Genomic DNA, 23820 nt, shown 5'->3' on the forward strand with positions numbered 1-23820 from the left:
CTATCCCCCGCCAACCTCTATTTTTGTCTTCCCCAAACAAATATATATATATGTATATATATATATTTGAGACAGAATCTCATACTCTTGTCACCCAGGCTGGAGTGTAATGGCGCGATCTCATCTCATTGCAACCTCCACCTCCGGGTTCAAGTGATTCTCCTACCTCAGTCTCTAAAGTAGCTGGGATTACAGGCGTCCACCACCACACCCAGCTAATTTTTGTATTTTTAGTAGAGACTGAGTTTCACCGTGTTGGCCAGGCTGGTCTCGAACTCCTGACCTCATGATCCGCCCTCCTCAGCCTCCCAAAGTGCTGGGATTACAGGCGTGAGCCACCCGGCCCGCTATATTTTACTTATAACCAGTGGGGTTGAATGGAAACCCATCTCTGAAACTTGGCCAAGTGTGATGCTGCCTGATGTTGCTGGCCGAAGTTCCTGCTCTAGGTAGAAAGTGAGTTTTTGGCCGGGCACGGTGGCTCACACCTGTAATCCCAGCACTTTGGGAGGCCATTTGAGCCCAGGAGTTCCAGACCAGCCTGGGCAACATAGGGAGACCCCGTCTCTACAAAAATGTTTTTAAAAAAATTAACGTGGCATGGTGCACACACCTGTAGTCCCAGCTGCTTGGGAGGTTGAGGCAGGAGGATCATGGGAGCCCAGTACAGGCACCCGCCACCACACCCGGCTAATTTTTGTATTTTTAGTAGAGATGGGGTTTCACCATGTTGGCTAGGCTGGTCTCGATCTCTTGACCTTGTGATCTGCCCACCTCGGCCTCCCAAAGTGCTGGGATTACAGGCTTGAGCCACTGCACCCAGCCTAGAAAGTGTGTTTTTACAGAGGCATGCTGACTATGAGAACATCCTCCTCAGAGCATAGTGGGTGTGGCTGGTGGGAGAAGCTGGGTCAAGTGGTACAGTCTGCCTCTGTGTGAGGACTCAAGCTTGTGAGAAGACCTGGAAGCGACTCACAGGGTGGCACATCCACAGAGCAGCACTAGGAGGGAGGGAACTGCTGCCATACACATCAGGCCGGATGGGCCTCCAGGGAACCAGGCCCAGTGGCAGAAGCCAGACCTACGGTGTGATCCCAAATGCGAACCTACAGTGACAGAAAGCACACAAGTGGCTGCCTGGGGACAGGTGAGCGTGGGCGGAAGCCAGAGGGCAGATGAGGAAGGACAGAGGCAGTGGAGATTTGCTGCTGACTGTGCACCGGTCGAAACCCTCAGGTTGTGCTTCCAGTGTGTGAGTTTATTGTGCGTCAGTTACACCTCGATCAAGCCAGGCCCACCTCGGCCAGAAGGCAGCCATCTCTCTGCAGGCCTGGCTCAAGGTCTGTTGCCCAGGTCCTTCTCTGAGAGCTCAAACAAGCCCCTTGCTTCCTGTATCCACTCTCTGTGTGCCCAGTGGTTAGGCCTTCCTCGGCTGAGTGCTCAGCTCAAACTAAAACTGTCATCAGTGCTGTGTCCTTGCTGGCTGGTGCCGCCAGGGCCTAGGGCCTGGGAACTGTCAGCCTGGGGTGACTGGTCATCTGAGACCCCCACAACCCAAGAGTCACCTCTTCTCGGGTGCTGGGATCCCAGGAGCCACCCACACCGACTGCCAGGCAGGACCAGGCTGCTGGCCCTACGCCAGCCTCCCTGCCCCGCTTGGCTGTGTAGCATAAGCCAGTCCTCCCTCTCAGCACCCCCAGGCCAGCGCCCTCACTCCAGGACCCTCAGGAACCTGCCTGCGGGGGCTGTGACCCCTGCCGTGGGGAGGTGCACATGGGGAGAGCGATATGGGACGGCGAGAGAGAAGGGACTTAGGGCAGGATTCGGGCCCAGTGAGAGGGGCTTGAGGAAGCTGGACTTTGCTTGGATGGATGCCCTCAGGAGGTGCGGGGGCAGCTCTAGGGTCAGGGGTCTTTCTTTAGCAGAAGGAGGAAGGAAGCCAGGCCAGAGCTGGACAGCCAGGCAGCTGGGACACTCAGGCAGCTGGTGCAGGGCATTGATGGGGCTTCTGTGGTCAGGGCAATGCACGTTTGTCTGTGCTCAGACATGAGTCCGGAGAGTCTTGTTCTTCTGATTCATCGTGAGGTGGAAGTTGTGGGCCCCGGGGGTCGAGTTATGTGACACGGGTACGTTTAGCAGGAGAATCAGGGCCTGCCGGATGGCAGATACACAGAGTGTGTTTCCACTGTATCCACAGACATGTGCCAAGCCCTCCAAGCCCCAGATTTGATTCTCCAGAGGAGGCCTGAGCAGGTCTTTAGGGAAAGCCTGGGTGTAATTCTGATGTGCGCGGGCTAAGAGCCCTGTGTGGATTCCTGACGCACTGGGTCCAGTCAAGGCGACCCTGAGGGCCTTTCCCAGCCTTGCCCCTGCCGGACACCTGGCCCCAAAGCCGGCTGCACCCTCCAGAAGCAGGCTACCCTTCCCCTCCCAGGAATCTGGCCTTTCCGGACACTGCTCAGTGCCTGAGCTGAATCTGACAAACTGGGTGATATTAGTGACCAGGGGCGTCTCCTGCTTCCTCTTGAATCGCTTTTCACCTGGAGTATGAGTGCCTCAATGCAGAGGAGGCCGGGGGAAATTATTGAGCCCTCATGGGCACCCAGAGGCATCTGGAAGACAGGAGGTTTCAGTCACCACGTTGGACTTGGAGGCACCAAAAGATCATAACTGTGCACATTTGGTGTGACTTAATCATTCATCCCTCAGTCTTCATATCTGTAAAACGAGGATAATGGTTCCTCTCTGTAAGGTGGCTGTGACAGTCACATGTGCTGACGTTTGTGGAATGTTCCTTTTTACCTGCAAACCTTGAGTGCTCAATGCTGTGGCCCCAGCTGCTTTTCCACCCCAACGCTTGGCTCCGAGGGCCTGACCCCCTGAAGCAGGGGCACATTTGGTGTCCTGTCCTTCCCTGGGTCCACCCAGGTCCCCTTTCTCTCTGTGAGTTCTAGAGTTTAGAAAACATCAGGCGAGGCTTCACAGGAACAGTGCTGGCTTAGAGAAGGTGAGGCCTCCACCTGGGGGTGAGTCAGGCATGGAAGGCGGCCTTGAAGGCCCATCCGTGTGCTGGCTCCACTGCCCCTGGCATGAGGGCCTGCGTGCCCTGACCCTCCCCACAGCCCCTCTGAGAGGCTAGGTCTGAGCCTCAGGAGTGTGTGGGATTGGAGCTGGGCCGCTGGGCTGGGGTCTGTCTGTGGGCGAAGCTGACCTGCTGAGTGGAGGCCACGGGTGTGAGGGAGCCACGTGGTTGCAGGGGCTCTTCCAGAGGAGAGGAAGGAAAGTCATCTGAGGACATGGGGCCTCTGCCCAGGTGGGCAGGGAGGGTGGGCTGTGGCTAGTCTCCAGGGTGGGAGCAGGCCATCTGCACAGGATGGGTGACTTTGGCCTGAAGGGTGAGGCTTCCCGACCTCAGAGGGGCTGCAGCAGGCCTGTGGGGAGAGGCGGTCTGGGCTGCTCCCGCCCACCCTGTGGGGCAGCAGGGCCTCAGGCCAGGATCGCGTCTGAACCACCTTGTGCGCTGCCCCAGCATACCGACTCGACCCCAAGGCCAGTGTTTTCATCCCCACGCACAGCATTTAACTAGTCTTGTTAGAGTCCAGGCCCGTGCTGGGTGCCAGGGAGGTCAGGCCATGAGCAAGACATACATGCAGGCCCTGGACAGGGGCTTCCGAGCCCTCTGGGTAGTAAAGGTTGGCAGCCTTGTGAGAATTCAACGAAGGCTCTGAGCACTGGCACTGGAAGCCCTCCCCACATGGGTGTGCAGGCACCTCCTGCGTGGCATTCCCAGGGCCCAGGGACCAGTGGACGGCAGGGAGGCTCCTGCTCTGAATCCCCAGCTCCTGAGGACAGCGCTTGAGTGATCCTGTCTCTTCCTCCCTCCAGTGCCGGGCTTGGAGCTGTGAGTGGAGCTGGGGCCCTGTGCATGTTTTAGTGAGGGTTCCAGTCACATGACACTTGCCTCCCGGTCTGCAGGGAGACCAGGCCCCGAGGGGACATGCTTGGTTGTCAGTGTGAGTGGGACAGGGATACAGGGCACAGGAGACAGGCCTGGGTGGCGCAGTGAGGCTCAGGGGTGATGGGCCCTGAAGAGGAGGTGCCAGGCACCAGCCCCCATTCTGGAGCTGGAGGGTGGTGGGCAGAATGGGAGCTGCGCCTTGGAGAGGCTAAGCGGGCCCTGGGCACCTCGGATCCTCCATCCCAGCCATGCTAGTTGGGGGCACTGCCCACCTGTGCACCCCCCAGTGGCAGAGGAGGAGAGGACAGCTGTGGGGACTCCCCTGCTGCCCCCCTCCTCCTTGGGTCCCCATCCCCAGCCAAGAGCACCTCTTCCCACCCTCCCTTGGGATCTGGGGCCTTGGTTCTGGCTCCGTGACCCCTCTCAGTGTCCCAACTTTAGTTTGTTTCTCAGTGTGCCCACCTCCCGGAGCTCCCCAAAGAGTAACGGGAGAGTGATGAAAAAGCTGGGGAGCGTTGGGGCAAGAACACCGTTTTGTTGGGTGCATATTGTCATGCCAGGGGGCAGAGAGATGCAGGCAGGGCTGGGGAGGCTTTAGGATGCAGGGGAATTTTCTGTGCCCTATAGGGAGGGTCACCCCCTTTGCTGCCCTTAGAGACAACCTTGCCTGGGGCCCCAGTGCCCTGGCCTGTGAGGTGGGATGGCAGCCATTTTGCTCCTGGGGGCACCCCACAGGCTGTCCCAGGCTGCCTGTCTGCCCTGGAACTTGAAGGAGGAGACCCTCAATCTCTAAGCAGAGGGACCACTATCACACACCTCCTTTCCATGATCTAGGATACTTTTTTTTTTTTTTTTCTGAGACGGAGTCTTGCTCTGTCACCCAGGCTGGAGTGCAGTGGCGCGATCTCAGCTCACTGCAACCTCCTCCTCCCAGGTTCAAGTATTCTCCTGCCTCAATCTCCTGAGTAGCTGGAATTACAGGTGCACACCACCACGTCCAGCTAATTTTTGTATTTTTAGTAGAGACAGTGTTTCACCACGTCCAGTCTGGTCTCAAACTTGTGACCTCAAGTGATCCACCCACCTCAGCCTCCCAAAGTGCTGGGATTACAGGCTTGAGCCACCTTACCCAGCCTAGGATACACTTTTTAAAAAACGGTATAATACTTGTGAAATGAAAATGCATTTGTAATTGATGTGTACATTTAACATAGTGATTTTTCCTTCTTCCTCAAAAGCTCTCCTTGACTTAGTGGCATCTTTGTAAGCAGGAAACAGGACGCTGTAACTGCACATGTGGTCTGGGGCCAGTGTGTGGCATCCCAGGGAGGTCCCAAGCCCTCACCCCACCGGGAGCCTCCCCTACTGCTGGGTCAACCTCCTGGCCCCATGGGGGTTCTCAAAGCAGCCCACGTTTCTAGGGCATCCTCAGAGGGACTCACAGGAGCAGTTGGGCCAGTGCCCCAGGGAGGGGGCAGCCTCTCTAGGGGCCTCTTGGGAAGTGTGTGGGATCAGGCCTGTCTGTACCTGAGGAAGGAGGAGCCACTGGCCACTGCCTGCTGTGTCCCTGGTACCCCTCATATGGAGAGGTCTCCTCTCAGGACACCATGGAGAGCTGTTGTTTCTGATGATACCCGTGTCCCAAGTCTGCCTAGGCAGCTGCTGCTGCCTGTGGCCAGAGGCTTTCTGGGAGCTGGCTCTGCTCTGCTCCCTCCATGAGCCCAGTCCTGGGAGCCTCTCCAGCTGTCCATCATCCACAGCCAGCATCCAAACGGCTGCTGCTCAGACTTCCAATTCCGAATTGCCCAACACCTCCCCCCTGCAAGGACACAGGTTCCCCCAGGTGGGCTGTCTGCGTCCACAAGGTGGGCACATAGCCCATGGGAAGTAGGGCAGATTGTGGGGGCTACAGTGCCCCAAGCAGGGGTGCAGTGGGCCACAGGGTGGTATCCCTACCCCATGTCCCTACCTTCAGATGCCCTCGTGATGGGGCCTCCCTCGGTAGACAGGGGACTGAGGTGCATGTAGAGGTGAGCAGAGCCACACGGGAAGGGGAAGCAGGAGTCAGCGTCAAATCCCCTGCCACTGTACAGTCTTTCCAACAAGACCCCCTCAGATGGCAGCTGAGGCTGCTGGGCCTCTGTCATGCATGCGCTTCTGTGGGGCATTGTCAGAGGGAGAGGCTTCTGTCCCATGCAGGCCTGAGGGGCTTCAGGCCCTCGGTATAGCCTGGGCAGCCCCCGAGTTCCGACTTTGGGCCGTTCACTCAGCTCCTTGGAATGGGTTCATTCTGCTGCACAACCAAAAAAACCAGCCTGCTGGGTCCCCTTGCAGAGCTGTGGGAGCGCAGGCAGGACATGAGTCCGCCAGCTTTCTGTGCTGTGAACACCGGCGTCCTGACCGCTGTGGAGCGGAGAAGTGCCTGCACTTTGAGAAGGGTGGTTGGGATAGGACCTGCCAGAGGCCAGCATGTGCCTTTCCTGCCCTGGCAGCCAGGCAGCTGTGACCTGGGAATGCAGGGCAGAGAGGACACTAATCTGGATGCATCTGTTGGTGGCGCCAACTGTCAGGAGGGTGCTGGCGCCAGCTCCGCAGCCAGCCCTGGTTCGCATCCATCAACCATGCAGTGCTGGTGCTCACACTGTTGTGTCTTCTCAGAGGAAGGAAGCTCACATCTTCCCATGAGACAGGCAGCTGGGAGTGGGGTGAGAATGTGCTCTCAGCCAGAACCGGGTGCGGTTCATGCGGGTTGGGGAGTTTGCTGCACTGCCGAGGCCTGCCCTTCGCCCACCGTGCAGGTGCTCCGGGCCTGAGTGGGCGGCTGCACATGGTCTCTATCCGAGAGGGTGGAGTGGACGGGCTGGGGGGGCTCCAGTCTGTCTGCAAAGCAGCAGGGCAGAGCTCGACACTATGTGGGTCACATGAAGAAGAAGGGTAATGACATGGCTCTTGGCCACTGTGATCCTTCTGACTGCTGCTGTCCTCAGCTCATCCGTGAGCTGGAACAAGGTCCCAACCCTCCCGGGGCCTCCATGGACACAGCCAGCAGGAAATGCAGGGTTGTTGACCTGCTCTGCCAGTCTCTCCGGGCTTGTGTAAGGCCCAAATGAGACATCGTGAGTGAATGTTTGTAGAAGCTGGAGACCTGGTCCAAATTCAAATGCTGCCACCTGCCAGGTTGGTGCTTAACTGTCCTGAACTTCAGTTTCCTTACCTGGAGAATACAGACAATCAGAATTGCCTCATGTTAGGATTAAATAATGTCTAAAAGGCACAGGGCACGTGGCAGCACTTTATCCGTAGCTATTTTATTATTACAGGTGTTATTTTTACAGTGGGGGAGATGAGCCATTCCAACTTCACAGCTTTTATTCTTTCAAGAGTTGGCTGAGCGCCTGCTCCACGGCACACCCTGCGCTGGGGCTGGGGATGCAGAGGCTCAGGCAGGCCCTCCCTTCTGACGAGCTCATGGGTCTAGTGGTGGAGACAGGTGGGCTGGCCCACAGCGACAGCGTCACCTGTGCAGTGGGAGATATGACCAGGGCATGGCTGGTGTGGGGAGCCCAGGAAAGGAAACTCTCAACCCTGTCAAAGGGGAAAGGAGAGTCTTGGGGAGCCGAGAGGATGGACAGGTGATAGCAGACCACAGTGTGGTGTCAGGCAGGACACAGGCACAAGGCACAACATCGGGGTGCCGTTCTGCCTCCAGGACCTCCAAGGAGGCTGCACAGATGAAGCGATGCCTTGATGAGACTGACTGTGGGGAGTGGGGAGCCATCGGGCCAGACTGTGAGCTGGTGGGGGTGGGGGGGACTGTGAGCCGGGTAAGTCCCCGGGCAAGACTGACTGTGGGGTGGGTTGGGGGAGCCTGGCCCATAAGGTGGGACGCCCTGCACGGAGGCGAGCGAGCACGATGTGCAGAACTCCAAGAGTCTCAGGAGGAGACCGCAGGATGGGAGAGAGATCTGAAAGCCGAGCAGGACTGAGGTGGGCCTGAGCCCCGTCGCCTCCTGCGGGCGGTGGAGAGCTGCAGTGGGGAGACAGTGAGATGCAGCTTGTGCTGAGTCTCAAGCCAGCACGCACAGGAGGCACCACTCCTCAGGGTTGTGCTCTGTGAGCCCAGAGCCCAGGAGCAGACAGAAAAGGGCTGAGCGACACAAGGGCAGCCTTGGCAGCTGGGAGCTCAGCAGCAGCCGGCTGCCCCATCTGGAGGCTCAGAGCAGACTGATCGCCCTGGGTGGGGCCTGCCACCTGGGCAGCTGGGAAGAACCTCCTTCCAGCAGCCTGATGCTCCCATCGAGGGTCAGCAGGGCATGTCCAGCACCAAGGCCATGCATGTTTTGTGCTTTGGGTCCCAGGGGGCTGTTTCTCAAATGTCCTGCTTGGCCTTCATATGGCACCATGAGGGACCCCGGAATCCCCACACCTATCCCAAGGCCCAACTTGGGGTCTGCCAGAGGATCTGCATGATGATTCACAGTGCGGGTTAGCTACTGTGCACGTGGCCAGTGATGGATCCTGATGGTAGAAAATTCAGAGTAGCTGGTGGAGGAGGGAGCCCTGAGCCTGAGGTAGGAGAGCCTCTCTGGGCACACGGCTTGGCTGGTCTCTGCCTTCTTTCCTGGAACATCCTGCCGGCTTCACAGAGTTGTTTTTCAGACTTCCTGAGTCCAGGTGAGGTCTAGACAAGGCATCTCGTGCAGCCACCTCTCCCTTCCTTTCTGAACCTCAATCATGTGCTACTCTGCAAAGCACACGGCCAGTCTTCACCTGCCTGTTTCACAGGTGTTGTGAGGGAGGGGCATGTCTTCGCTCAGCAGGCCTGGGCCTCCTGTGTGTCCCCTGGGGATGAGCTGCTGAGCCAGGTGTGGGCTGTCCGTGGTCCTGGTGCCTGTGCACATCGGTGTCCAGGAAGAGCAACGTCTCCCGTTGTCTTTGGCTCTCCTAGGGGCCTATGGTGCGGTCTGCCCCTCTCCAGTGGGAGTCAGCACAGCACCAGGACACAGCATGTGAGCAGCAGCCTTGCTTGTGTCCAGTGTTGTGGGAAAACCACACAAGCCCTGCCGTCATCCCAGGAATGGTGGGCCCTACTGTGTGGCTCAGGAGGTGAGCCGGAGGATGCAGGCCACAGAGATATTGTAGTGAGCTTAGTTAGCCTTGAAGGATGGACAGTCATACCTACAGGCTAGTCTCAGCCTTGCCCATACCTTGCTGTGAGATTCTGGGCAGGTTTCTTAGCCTGTAGGAGAGAGGTCTTAGTCCTCTTGTCTGTCAAATGGGAATGTCCTGCCCTGCTCACCTCATAGGGTCACTGTAAGGATAAAATCTGATGTGTGTGGAAATAACTTGGGAAGCCAAGAAACATGACCAATAAAAGAGAAACGGTAAATAAAAAAATTATAGCATACCTGCACAAAATGGTTCATAAAATCCACAGAATGATTAATTACATCATAGCTGTAAGGAACATTCAAGTGTTAAAATTATAGGCCAAACCCTGTCCTTGGTGCTTGGGGATCAGCAGTGGCACAGTCTGGGACCCCTGTCCTGGAGCTCATGCTTTGGCAGGGAGGACAAATAACACACATTTATTCTTTGGAGTCTGGCTCTATAAATCTGAGGTCATCACGCCCCACCTCTTCCTAGGAAGCGGGGTGGGCACACCCTGGGGAAGCTCTACCCCAGCAGGTATGGCCAAGAAGACGGGGCTGTCACTCCTGTCCTCTGATAGGCTGGTGCTTTGGCTGCACCCCAGGAGGGTCAGGCTGCTGGCATTCTCATCCTCAGCCCCATGTTGCAGAAGCTCTGTTTCTGGCAAGTGCTGCTGAGAAGTCTGGGGATCACTTCCACACCCAACCCACGCTATAGGGTGGAGGCCTGCTCCAAGCACAGCAGGCTGGCCCCAGTGCCCCCATCTCATCTCACTCACAGGATGGAGGTTCCACACCAGGAGGGGCGAGACAGGAAGACCAGGGACTGCCAGGCAACCAGTGCCAGCTGGTAGAATGGGGATGTCATCAGGAAAAGCAGGCCCCCACCCCCAGCTCTGTGTTCTGATGCAGGGCTTCTGCCCAGGGGGAAAGGCAGGGCGTGCAGCTTTGCTGGAGGAGTCTGACTTTTATTTATTTATTTATTTATTTATTTATTTATTTATTTATTTTCGAGACAGAGTCTCACTCTGTCGCCGAGGCTGGAGTGCAGTGGCGCAATCTCGGCTCACTGCAAGTTCTGCCTCCTGGGTTCACGCCATTCTCCCACCTAAGCCTCCCGAGTAGCTGGGACAACAGGCGCCCGCGACCACGCCCGGCAAATTTTTTTTTTTGTATTTTTAGTAGAGACGGGGTTTCACCATTCATAGGATGGCCTCAATCTCCTGACCTTGTGATCCGCCTGCCTCGGCCTCCCAAAGTGCTGGGATTACAGACGTGAGCTACCGCGCCCGGCCGGAGGAGTCTTTTTACTTGAAACAAAAAGTTGGAGAACCCATGCCTTAAGGGTACTGCCAAAAACAGTGCAGCTCTTAGTGGGGAGCAACTAAGAGGAAGCTGGTAGGTTCATGAGTCAGGGGTCACCAAGACCACTGTGAGGCTTGACAATCCACTGGGACTCACAGGACCATGAGTGTAACTCTGAAAAGCTGTTATACTCATGGTTATGGTTTATTACAGTGAAAAGATACAGATTTAAGTCAGCAGAGGGAAGAGGTACAGAAGGTGGAGTCCAGGAGAGACCAGCTGCAAGCTTCCAGGTGTCCCCTCCTAGGAAGTGGCATGCAGTGCTTAATCTTCAGCAACAATGTGTGACAACCCACGTGAAGTGTTACAACCAGGAAGCTCCCCTGAGCCTTGGTGCCCAGGTTTTTATTGGGGTCAGTCATACAGGCATGCATACTTGCATGACTGAACTTAACTATTCAGACTCCAGTCCCCTAGGGCCTCAGGCAGACCAAAGAAGGCAGGATATCCTAAGACCTCAGAGATGATCTCTCAGGAGCCAATCAATAGCCAGTGTTTTCTATGAAATGTGCAGTTTGAATAATCTAAGCCGGCTAAGTCGTTATTGCTTACTTCAAGAAAAAACAAAAGGCAGGGCAACCAGAAGTTTAAACAAATAAACAATTGACCAATCAAACAACAACCATAACAATATCAACAACCCACAGGACAAGTATTAGTATCAGAATTGCTATAATGTTATCTGAAATGTCCAGTTTTCAACAACAAAACAAAAAATAAAAGACAGGCAAAGAAATAGGAAAGTGTGACCCATATACAGGGCAGAAAGCGAGCCATAGAAATATCTTTTTGAAGGGGTGTCATTGGTGGCCTCAGGAGACTAAGACTTCAAAGCAGCTATTATAACTCAGTTCAAATAACTAAAGGAAGCCATGAATAAAGAATTCAAGGAAGGTGTGATAGCAGTGTCTCTTCAAATACATAATATTGTTAAAGATATGGAAAATATAACGACCAAATAGAAATTAACCAAATGAAAAATTCACCAGAGGGGCTGAACAGTAGATTTGAGCTGGTAGAAGAATCCATGAACTTAATGAATAGAGATTATGTAATTTGAAGAACAGATGTGAAAAAGAATGAAGAAAAATGAACAAAGACTCGGAAATGTTGGACACTATTAAGTGCACCAACATATATGGGGATAAAAGGAGAGGAGAAGGTAGAATAAAATAATTCCCAGATATAAAAAAATGGAAATAATTTGTTGCTAGCAGATTTGCCTTGCAAGAAATACTAAAGGAAATTCCTCAGGCTGAGAGCAAGTGACACCAGAGAATAATTCAAATCCACATGAATAAATCGAGATTGCCAGTAAAAGTGATTATTTAGGTAATTATAAGAGATAGAGCAATTGCATATTTTTTCTTCTTAACTGTTTAGAAAGTGATTGCGGAAAATAATCCATGTATCATTGTATTGGTGGACCTATAGCATATAGGAGATATACCTAATGTTAAATGACGAGTTAATGGGTGCAGCACACCAACATGGCGCATGTATACATATGTAACTAACCTGCACGTTGTGCACATGTACCCTAAAACTTAAAGTATATTAAAAAAAAAGAAATGTAATATGCTTCACAGTAAAAGCACAGAGGTGATTGGGAACAAAGCTGCAGTGGAGCTTAGCAGGTGGCAACCCAAATCCATAGAAGGAAATGAAGAGAATGGGAAATTTAAAAGTTAACATAGGCTGGGTGCAGTGGCTCACGCCTGTAATCCCAGCACTTTGGGAGGCCGAGGCGGGTGGATCACGAGGTCAGGAGATCAAGACCATCCTGGCTAACATGGTGAAACCCCGTCTCTACTAAAAAAAAATAATAATACAAAAAATTAGCTGGGCGTGGTGGCGGGTGCCTGTAGTCCCAGCTACTTGGGAGGCTGAGGCAGAAGAATGGCATGAACCCGGGAGGCGAAGCTTGCGGTGAGCCGAGATCGCGTCACTGCACTCCAGCCTGGGCGACAGAGCGAGACTCCATCTCAAAAAAATAAAAAAATAAAAAAGTTAACATAATAAACTCTATAAATATGTACTTGCCTCTCCACTCCTTAAAAAAGACATAAGATTATATGAAGCAGTGTATTGATCTGTTTGTAACATATGGAAACACAATATGTGCAACATTAGTAATGCACACATACACACAAAGAAGAGAGTAGCGCTATGTAAGAGTAAAGTTTCTATATCTGACTAGAATTAAGTAGTATAAATCTGAAGTAGATTTTACAAGCTAAGATGAATATTGTAAGCCCTAGAGCAAGCACTAAGAAAAGAACTTACATAGTAAAAAAAAAAAAAAAAAAAAAGCATTAAAAAGATTAAACTGTCACACTAGAACATATTCACTAAATGCAAAAGGAAGAACCGAGGTACAAAAAGACAAAACACATAAAAAATAACAAAAATCAAAATGGCAGATATAAATGTAACCATACCAATTAAACAACCCAAACTAAGGCAGAGACTGTCAGAATGAATTTTTTCTTAAAAAGAAAAACAAGATCCAGCTATATCTTTTTATAGGAGGTACTTTATTTTTTAAATTTATTTTATTTATTTATTTATTTGAGATGGAGTTTTGCTCTTGTTGCCCAGGCTGGAGTGCGATGGTGCAATCTTGCTCACTGCAACCTCCGCCTCCCGGGTTCAAGTGATTCTCCTGCCTCAGCCTCCCGAGTAGCTGAGATTACAGGCATTCACCACCACGCCCGGCTAATTTTGTATTTTTCTTTTTTAGTAGAGATGGGGTTTCTCCGTGTTGGTCAGGCTGGTCTTGAACCCCGACCTCAGGTGATCCACCCACCTCGGCCTCCCAAAGTTCTGGGATTACAGGTGTGACCCACCACGCCTGGCCAGGAGATACCTTAGATTCAAAGATGCAAATACGTTGAAAGTTAAGGGTGGAAAAACATACCATCATAACTGCATGAGCTGGGGTAGCTATATAAATATCAGCCTACATAGATTTTAAAACAGAAGTTTTACCACAGATAAAGAGGGACATTTTATAATGATAAAAGTTTAGATCTATCCAGACAATAAAACAGTTATAAACATATGCGCACCTACTAACAGGACCCAAAATACATGAAGCTGAAACAGGCAGAATTGATGGGAGAAGCAAACAATGTAACAACAATAGTTGGAGATCACCCTTTCATTCGTTGATAGAGCAACTAGGCAGAAAATCAGAAGACTTGAACAGCACTACAAATCATTAGACCTAACAGACATCTATAGGATGCTCCACCAAACAGAAGTAGGACACACATTTTTCTCAATTGCATATGAAATATAGTCCAAGGGCCAGGGGCAGTGGCTCATGCCTGTAATCCCAGCACTTCGGGAGGCCGAGGCAGGCGGATCACAAGGTCGGGAGATTGAGACCATCCTGGCCAACGTGGTGAAACCCCATCTCTACTAAAAATACAAAAAATTAGCTGGACGTGGTGGTATGTGCCTGTAATCCCAGGTACTCGGGAGGCTGAGGCGGGTGGATCACCTGAGGTCAGGAGTTTGAGACCAGCCTGGCCAACATGGTGAAACCCCGTCTCTATGAAAAATACAAAAATTAGCTGGGCATGGTGGCAGGTACCTGTAACCCCAGCTACTTGGGAGGCTGAGGCAGGAGAATCACTTGAACCCAGGAGGTGGAGGATGCAGTGAGCTGAGATCACGCCACTGCACTATAGCCTGGGGGATAGAGCAAGACTCTGTCTCCAAATAAATAAACAAATAAATATAAAAAGAACAAAGTTACAGAAGAAAACATAAGAGTAAATCTTTGCATCTTGGGTTAGGCAATGGTTTCTTAGATACAAGAAAAGCAGAAATGACAAAAGAAAAATTATGTAAATCCGGGCCAGGCACAGTGGCTCACGCCTGTAATCCCAGCACTTTGGGAGGCCAAAGCGGGCAGATCATGAGGTCACGAGATCAAGACCAGCCTGACCAACACGGTGAAACCCCCTCTCTACTAAAAATACAAAAATTAGCTGGGCATGATGGCATGCACCTGTAATCCCAGCTACTTGGGAGGCTGAGGCAGAATTGCTTGAACTCAGGAAGCGGAGGTTGCAGTGAGCCATGATCGTGCCACTGTACTGCAGCCTGGGAAACAGGGCAAGAGTCCATCTCAAAAAAAAAAAAAATTTCAAATCAAATTGTGTATCTGATAAAGAATTTGTATCCAGAATATACATAAACAGTCCTTACAGGCCGAGTGTGGTGGCTCATGCTTGTAATCCCAGTACTTAGAGAGGCCAAGGCAGGAGGGTTACTTGAGCCTATGAGTTTGAGACCAGCCTGGGCAACCTAGCAAGACTCCAACTCAAAAAAAAAAAAAAAGTAAAAACAAAAATCTGTACAACTCAATAGTAAAAACACAAATACCTCAATTTAAAAGTAGGCAAAGAAAGGCGTAAGAATGGTATGAGGGACTTTACGGACACGGGAAAGGGTGGGAGAGGGCTAAGGGGTAAAAGACTACAAATGTGTACAGTGTACCCTGCTCGGGTGATGGGTGCACCCAAATCTCAGAAGTCACCACTAAAGAACTTATGTATGTAACCAAATACCACCTGTTCCCCCAAAACCTATGGAAATAAAAAATAAAAATAAATAAAAAATAAAAGTAGGCCAAGGATTATGCAACCTCATGAGAGAACCTGAAAACAATGAATAAAAATTAAAAATAGAAAAGGATTTCAACAGACACTTCTCCAGTGAAGGTATACAAATGGCCAATAAGCACATACAAATTTCTTCCGCATCTTCATCATTAGGGAAATGCAAATGAAAAGCACAGTGAGCTACCACTTCACCCCCATCAACACGACTAATAAAATATACAGCAAGTGTTGTCAAGTATATGGAGAAGTTGAGACCTTCATACATTCCTGGCAGGATTGTAAAGTGGTGCATCTGCTTTGAATTTGGTAGTCCTTCAAAATGTTAAACGTAGAGTTACCACATGACCCAGCAATTCCTCTCCTATGCATTTATCCAAGAGAAATGAAAGCACACATCCACACAAAGACTTGGACACAAATGCACAAAGCAACCTCATAACGGTTCAAAATCGTGAACAACTCAAATCTCCATCAGCAATTGAGAGGATGAACAAATTCTGGCATATCCATAGGGTGGAATACTGCTCAACAACAAGAGTGAGTTAGGCGGGGCACAGTGGCTCACGCCTGTAATCCCAGCACTTTGGGAGGCCGAGGCAGGCAGATCACGAGGTCAGGAGATCGAGACCATCCTGGCAAACACGGTGAAACCCCGTCTCTACTAAAAATACAAAAAAAATTAGCTGGGCATGGTGGCGGGCGCCTGTAGTCCCAGCTACTCGGGAGGCCGAGGCAGAAGAATGGTGTGAACCCGGGAGGCGAAGCTTGCGGTGAGCCGAGATCGCGTCACTGCACTCCAGCCTGGGCGACAGAGCGAGACTCCATCTCAAAAAAATAAAAAAATAAAAAAGTTAACATAATAAACTCTATAAATATGTACTTGCCTCTCCACTCCTTAAAAAAGACATAAGATTATATGAAGCAGTGTATTGATCTGTTTGTAACATATGGAAACACAATATGTGCAACATTAGTAATGCACACATACACACAAAGAAGAGAGTAGCGCTATGTAAGAGTAAAGTTTCTATATCTGACTAGAATTAAGTAGTATAAATCTGAAGTAGATTTTACAAGCTAAGATGAATATTGTAAGCCCTAGAGCAAGCACTAAGAAAAGAACTTACATAGTAAAAAAAAAAAAAAAAAAAAGCATTAAAAAGATTAAACTGTCACACTAGAACATATTCACTAAATGCAAAAGGAAGAACCGAGGTACAAAAAGACAAAACACATAAAAAATAACAAAAATCAAAATGGCAGATATAAATGTAACCATACCAATTAAACAACCCAAACTAAGGCAGAGACTGTCAGAATGAATTTTTTCTTAAAAAGAAAAACAAGATCCAGCTATATCTTTTTATAGGAGGTACTTTATTTTTTAAATTTATTTTATTTATTTATTTATTTGAGATGGAGTTTTGCTCTTGTTGCCCAGGCTGGAGTGCGATGGTGCAATCTTGCTCACTGCAACCTCCGCCTCCCGGGTTCAAGTGATTCTCCTGCCTCAGCCTCCCGAGTAGCTGAGATTACAGGCATTCACCACCACGCCCGGCTAATTTTGTATTTTTCTTTTTTAGTAGAGATGGGGTTTCTCCGTGTTGGTCAGGCTGGTCTTGAACCCCGACCTCAGGTGATCCACCCACCTCGGCCTCCCAAAGTTCTGGGATTACAGGTGTGACCCACCACGCCTGGCCAGGAGATACCTTAGATTCAAAGATGCAAATACGTTGAAAGTTAAGGGTGGAAAAACATACCATCATAACTGCATGAGCTGGGGTAGCTATATAAATATCAGCCTACATAGATTTTAAAACAGAAGTTTTACCACAGATAAAGAGGGACATTTTATAATGATAAAAGTTTAGATCTATCCAGACAATAAAACAGTTATAAACATATGCGCACCTACTAACAGGACCCAAAATACATGAAGCTGAAACAGGCAGAATTGATGGGAGAAGCAAACAATGTAACAACAATAGTTGGAGATCACCCTTTCATTCGTTGATAGAGCAACTAGGCAGAAAATCAGAAGACTTGAACAGCACTACAAATCATTAGACCTAACAGACATCTATAGGATGCTCCACCAAACAGAAGTAGGACACACATTTTTCTCAATTGCATATGAAATATAGTCCAAGGGCCAGGGGCAGTGGCTCATGCCTGTAATCCCAGCACTTCGGGAGGCCGAGGCAGGCGGATCACAAGGTCGGGAGATTGAGACCATCCTGGCCAACGTGGTGAAACCCCATCTCTACTAAAAATACAAAAAATTAGCTGGACGTGGTGGTATGTGCCTGTAATCCCAGGTACTCGGGAGGCTGAGGCGGGTGGATCACCTGAGGTCAGGAGTTTGAGACCAGCCTGGCCAACATGGTGAAACCCCGTCTCTATGAAAAATACAAAAATTAGCTGGGCATGGTGGCAGGTACCTGTAACCCCAGCTACTTGGGAGGCTGAGGCAGGAGAATCACTTGAACCCAGGAGGTGGAGGATGCAGTGAGCTGAGATCACGCCACTGCACTATAGCCTGGGGGATAGAGCAAGACTCTGTCTCCAAATAAATAAACAAATAAATATAAAAAGAACAAAGTTACAGAAGAAAACATAAGAGTAAATCTTTGCATCTTGGGTTAGGCAATGGTTTCTTAGATACAAGAAAAGCAGAAATGACAAAAGAAAAATTATGTAAATCCGGGCCAGGCACAGTGGCTCACGCCTGTAATCCCAGCACTTTGGGAGGCCAAAGCGGGCAGATCATGAGGTCACGAGATCAAGACCAGCCTGACCAACACGGTGAAACCCCCTCTCTACTAAAAATACAAAAATTAGCTGGGCATGATGGCATGCACCTGTAATCCCAGCTACTTGGGAGGCTGAGGCAGAATTGCTTGAACTCAGGAAGCGGAGGTTGCAGTGAGCCATGATCGTGCCACTGTACTGCAGCCTGGGAAACAGGGCAAGAGTCCATCTCAAAAAAAAAAAAATTTCAAATCAAATTGTGTATCTGATAAAGAATTTGTATCCAGAATATACATAAACAGTCCTTACAGGCCGAGTGTGGTGGCTCATGCTTGTAATCCCAGTACTTAGAGAGGCCAAGGCAGGAGGGTTACTTGAGCCTATGAGTTTGAGACCAGCCTGGGCAACCTAGCAAGACTCCAACTCAAAAAAAAAAAAAAAGTAAAAACAAAAATCTGTACAACTCAATAGTAAAAACACAAATACCTCAATTTAAAAGTAGGCAAAGAAAGGCGTAAGAATGGTATGAGGGACTTTACGGACACGGGAAAGGGTGGGAGAGGGCTAAGGGGTAAAAGACTACAAATGTGTACAGTGTACCCTGCTCGGGTGATGGGTGCACCCAAATCTCAGAAGTCACCACTAAAGAACTTATGTATGTAACCAAATACCACCTGTTCCCCCAAAACCTATGGAAATAAAAAATAAAAATAAATAAAAAATAAAAGTAGGCCAAGGATTATGCAACCTCATGAGAGAACCTGAAAACAATGAATAAAAATTAAAAATAGAAAAGGATTTCAACAGACACTTCTCCAGTGAAGGTATACAAATGGCCAATAAGCACATACAAATTTCTTCCGCATCTTCATCATTAGGGAAATGCAAATGAAAAGCACAGTGAGCTACCACTTCACCCCCATCAACACGACTAATAAAATATACAGCAAGTGTTGTCAAGTATATGGAGAAGTTGAGACCTTCATACATTCCTGGCAGGATTGTAAAGTGGTGCATCTGCTTTGAATTTGGTAGTCCTTCAAAATGTTAAACGTAGAGTTACCACATGACCCAGCAATTCCTCTCCTATGCATTTATCCAAGAGAAATGAAAGCACACATCCACACAAAGACTTGGACACAAATGCACAAAGCAACCTCATAACGGTTCAAAATCGTGAACAACTCAAATCTCCATCAGCAATTGAGAGGATGAACAAATTCTGGCATATCCATAGGGTGGAATACTGCTCAACAACAAGAGTGAGTTAGGCGGGGCACAGTGGCTCACGCCTGTAATCCCAGCACTTTGGGAGGCCGAGGCAGGCAGATCACGAGGTCAGGAGATCGAGACCATCCTGGCAAACACGGTGAAACCCCGTCTCTACTAAAAATACAAAAAAAATTAGCTGGGCATGGTGGCGGGCGCCTGTAGTCCCAGCTACTCGGGAGGCCGAGGCAGAAGAATGGTGTGAACCCGGGAGGCGGAGCTTGCAGTGAGCCGAGATTGCACCACTGCTCTCCAGCCTGGGCGACAGAGACTCTGTCTCAAAGAAAGAAAGAAAGAAAGAAAAAAAAAAAAAGGAGTGAGTTACTGACACATTCAGCAACATAGATGAATCTCAAAATAATTACGCCTAGTCACAGGAGCCAGTCACAAAGAACTATATTGCATGATTCCATTTATAGGAAATACCCAGGATCAGCAGGTCTATAGAGATAGAAAGTCAATTAGTAGTTGCCTGGGGCTGGAGTGAGGGGTGAAGTGTTGAAGGGGAGTGGGGAGTGAATGTTAAGGAGTATGGCGTTTTGGCCAGGCACGCTGGCTCACGCCTATAATCCCAGCACTTTGGGAGGCCGAGGCAGGCGAATCACTAGAGGTCAGGAGTTCAAGACCAACCTGGCCAACATGGGAAATCCCTTCTCTACTGAAATACAAAAAATTAGCCAGATGTGGTGGTGCACCCCTGTAATCTCAGCTACTCAGGAAACTGAGGCAGGACAATTGCTGGAACCCAGGAGGCGGAAGTTGTAGTGAGCCGAGATCATGCCACTGCACTCCAATCTGGGCGACAGAGCCAGACTCTGTCTCAAAACAAAAACAAAAACAAAAAATACAGCAAGTATTAGTACAAACATGTTCTAAGAGTAGATTATGGTGATGGTTGCACAACTCTGAATTTATTTAAAAACATTCAATTGTCTACTTTAAGTGGGTAATTGGTATGGTATGTGAATTATAGCTCAACAAATCCTTTTTAAACAGCGTGTGAGTGATGGCAGCTGTCTGAAGCACCTTTCCTTTGATGGAGACGCACATGGCTGTGTGTTCTGGGAGCAGAGCCAGCCAACCAGCCAGTACTTCCTGAACGTTTTTGTTGTATGCAAAGCCGATAAGGTGATGCAAGTGAGAGGTCATACTCCCTGTCCTCAGAGGAGGGACTTGCTACGTAAGCAAGGATTTGATTATGAAATCTACAACCACAGTTCAAAATTTTAAAGCATTTAGGGAGGGTTGGAGTAGTCAAAACAGGCATCTCAGAAGAGAGAGGAAATTGCCCTGGGCCTTCTAAGACAGGCAGACCAATGACAGGGATTTAGAGAACTGTGCATATGAGGGACTATGGCAGCATCGTGTCCGGTATTTACCAAGTGCTCCCCTTTACAGCCTCCTCGAGTGCCTTCTGGGGTAACCCAGGAGATGTTGTACAGTCCAGTTGCTGGAAAGTCATGCCTTGTATTAAATGGAAATCTCTCTCCTGTTAATAATACTCTTAGCACTGACGGTGCAGTTATTGTTTCCAGAACGGTGCTGAGCCTCGGAAATATCCTCTCAGGTCGTTCCTCCCACGTGAGGCAGGTTGTGTCACCTCCTCCTCCTAGTCATCATGGTTATTTTCCAGATGGAAGGACCTGGCCATTAGGTATAAAGTGATCTGCCACAATCACATTCCAAATCACACACTCAGGACCCCCTGCGGTGCTGTCGACTGCTGATCTTTCTCTTTTCTGATCCTCGCGGAAAAAGTCTAGTTTCCTTTCCATGTGATGGTGAATAAAGTCAAAGATAGGTTTTGTTTGTTTGTTTGTTTGTTTGTTTTGCCTCCAGTCATCTTTTCTTTTCCCTTGGGGTCAAACAAGCTCAGTTCTTAAATCATTCTGCATCCAGCTGGCTCTTGATCTCAGGCTGTGATCAAGTCCGTCAGTCCTTTACTTGAGTGTGGGCCTTAGACTGAGGGGGGATCTCTGGTGCCTGACCAGCCCAGAGGAGCAGTAGACTCACACCCCATTCTCCTGAGGGATGCATGTCAGTTGAGGCATTCCATGACAGAATTAGCTCTTTTGACTGCCACATTCCACTGTGGACTCAAATCCTGGGTCTTTTCTTCATGTGCTGCTAAGTTAGGTCCAGGGACCTGAAGAGGAAAACTTTAGGGTCGAATAAAAACATTGATCTGGCTGGGCTCAGTTGCTCACACCTGTAATCCCAGTACTTTGGGAGTCTGAGGTGGAAGGATTGCTTAAGGCCAAGAGTATGAGACAGATCTGGGCAGCACAGCAAGGCCACATCTCTAGAGACCAAAAAAAAATTTGTTTTAATAAAATAGCTAGGTGTGGTGGCATGCATCTGTAATCCAGCTACTCGGGAGACTGAGGCAGGAGAATTGCTTGAACCCGGGAAGCAGAGGTTGCAGTGAGCCAAGTTTGTGCCACTGCACTCCAGCCTGGGTGACAAGAGCGAAACTCCGTCTGGAAAAAAAAGAAGAAGGTGGGTATGGCAGGCAGGATTTTGGCCCACATGACCTTAGTCCTCTGGTGCTACTTCCATGCTATGTTATGTGGCAAAGGGACTTCTCACTAGGATGCATGATGTTAGCCGTGGGTTTCGTGTAGATGTTCTTTATCAAGGTAAGGACGTCTCTCCTTGTATCCTTAGCTTGCTGAGGGTTTTTATCACATAGGTATGTTGAATTCTGCCAGATACTCTTTCTGCATCTATTGATTGGTCTATGATTTCTCTTTTCTAGCCTGTTGATATGATGGATTATGTTAATTGATTTTTGAACCAGCCTTGCGTACCTGGGATAAATTCCACTTGGTCATGGTGTACAATTCTTTTGATACATTGGTGGATTCCATCTGCTAGAATTCTGTTGAGGATTTTTGCATCTGTGTTTATGAGAGCAGTTGGTGTGTAGTTTTTCTTTCTTGTAATATCCTTTTTTGATTTTGTAATGCTGGCCTCCTGGGATGAGTTAGGAAGTGTTCTCTCTACTTCTGTTTTCTGGAAGAGACTGCAAATAAACGGTATCATTTGTTCCTTCAATGTTTGGTAGAATTCATTTGTGAAACCATCTGGGCCTAGTGCTTTCAGTTTTTGAATGCTAATTATTGATTCAATTCCTTTAATAGATATAGGCCTTCCTGAATTATATGTGTCTCCTTTGTGAATAGGTACCAGTTCTGTACCCTTGTGTCTTTCAAGGAATTGATCCTTTTTGTCTACATTTTCAAACTGGGGGGTATAGAGCTGTTGGTAATGTCCCTGCTATCTTCCAAAAGTCCATGGTATCTATAATGATGGCTCCTTTTAATATATTATTATTATTATTTTTTTTTTTTAATGAGACGGAGTCTCACTCTATCACCAGGCTGGAGTGCAGTGGTGCGATCTCGGCTCACTGCAACCTCCGTCTCCCGGGTTCAAGTGATTCTCCTGCCTCAGCCTCTTGAGTACTGGGATTACAGGTGCGTGCCACTGCGCCTGGCTAATTTTTGTATTTTTAGTAGAGAGGGGGTTTCACCATGTTGGCCAGGCTGGTCTCGAACTCCTGACCTCGTGATCTGCCCGCCTTAGCCTCCCAAAGTGCTGGGATTACAGATGTGAGACACCATGCCTGGCCAATATATTGTATTTTCATTTTCATTCAGTTCAAAATATTTTCTAATTTCAGTTGTGGCTTTCCTTGGGACATAAGAGAATGGAGAAAAGGAAATAAATCAACAGGCAATTTCTCCCACTTTCTGAGTGTCATGAGTCCCTTTTCCTCCTCTTTCAGCCTGTACTAAGTCTTCCCCAGGGCTTTCTCATCTGTGCCCTCATGCCCACTTCCAGATCAGGAGCTACCAGAGATAAGATGAGGAACTTGCCTCAGCATCCTTCACGTTCCAGCCTTCTCCCCGGTCCCACTGCTGCTGTTTCCTCTGCAGAGTCCTCAGGCAGCCGCCCCCTGCGCCATGTTTTGGCTTCAACGCTGCGTGTGGTGGGAGCAAGGTGGATGTGTTTTTTTCTTTTTTTTTTTTCTTTTTTTTTTTTTTTTGGAGACAGAGTCACCCAGGCTGGAGTGCAGTGGTGCCATCTCGGCTCACTGCAAGCTCCGCCTCCCAGATTCAGGCCATTCTCCTGCCTCAGCCTCCTGAGTAGCTGGGACTACAGGCGCCCGCCACCACGCCTGGCTAATTTTTTGTATTTTTAGTAGAGATGGGGTTTCACCATGTTAGCCAGGATCGTCTCGATCTCCCGACGTCGTGATCCGCCCGCCCCGGCCTCCCAGAGTGCTGGGATTACAGGAGTGAGCCACCACACCCGGCCAAGGGTGGATGTGCTTTTACTGCATCTGGACCTGGGACTGGAGTCTCCTGGACGTCTTTTCCTTATGGAATAATTTCTTACAAGGCTGTGGTCAAGATGAGCCTAAGTAACCTGGAAGCAGCAGACAGTCACCCAGCTGGACATGGGGGTTGGCGCTGATGGCAGAAAAGGGAAAGGAGAGAACACTTCCCAGGGAAGCTGAAACCTGGCTGACTCTTGGCTGGGTGTGGGAGGGTGGGGTGGGGCGGGGCAGGTGTTCCAGGTGCAGAGACCAGCTGCGGTCTGAGGCGGGAGAAAGCGTGGTGTCTTTAGGGAATACAAGCTAAGGATTTCATACTGTCGTGGCACTGTGTGCAGCAGAACATCC

At 49.4% G+C, this 23820-nt stretch overlaps 1 protein-coding gene across 4 annotated transcripts in view, besides 3 other annotated features; it reads left to right on the forward strand.

Annotated features, from left to right (window-relative positions):
* Positions 1-23820, forward strand: part of ARHGEF4 (Rho guanine nucleotide exchange factor 4) — a 210340-nt gene that overhangs the window by 7858 nt on the left and 178662 nt on the right. The window lies entirely within an intron of this gene.
* Positions 1471-2005: an enhancer, noted in NCBI's record as "H3K4me1 hESC enhancer chr2:131603815-131604349 (GRCh37/hg19 assembly coordinates)". NCBI's record gives its function as "activates a minimal SCP1, AML or CMV promoter by ChIP-STARR-seq in primed H9 embryonic stem cells {active_cell/tissue: H9 hESC(primed)}" and the evidence as "EXISTENCE:reporter gene assay evidence [ECO:0000049][PMID:30033119]".
* Positions 2865-3542: an enhancer, noted in NCBI's record as "H3K4me1 hESC enhancer chr2:131605209-131605886 (GRCh37/hg19 assembly coordinates)". NCBI's record gives its function as "activates a minimal SCP1, AML or CMV promoter by ChIP-STARR-seq in primed H9 embryonic stem cells {active_cell/tissue: H9 hESC(primed)}" and the evidence as "EXISTENCE:reporter gene assay evidence [ECO:0000049][PMID:30033119]".
* Positions 5557-6091: an enhancer, noted in NCBI's record as "H3K27ac-H3K4me1 hESC enhancer chr2:131607901-131608435 (GRCh37/hg19 assembly coordinates)". NCBI's record gives its function as "activates a minimal SCP1, AML or CMV promoter by ChIP-STARR-seq in naive H9 embryonic stem cells {active_cell/tissue: H9 hESC(naive)}" and the evidence as "EXISTENCE:reporter gene assay evidence [ECO:0000049][PMID:30033119]".

The sequence above is a fragment of the Homo sapiens genome, chromosome 2, assembly GCF_000001405.40.
Source record: "Homo sapiens chromosome 2, GRCh38.p14 Primary Assembly".
NCBI classification, from domain to species: Eukaryota; Metazoa; Chordata; class Mammalia; order Primates; family Hominidae; genus Homo; species Homo sapiens.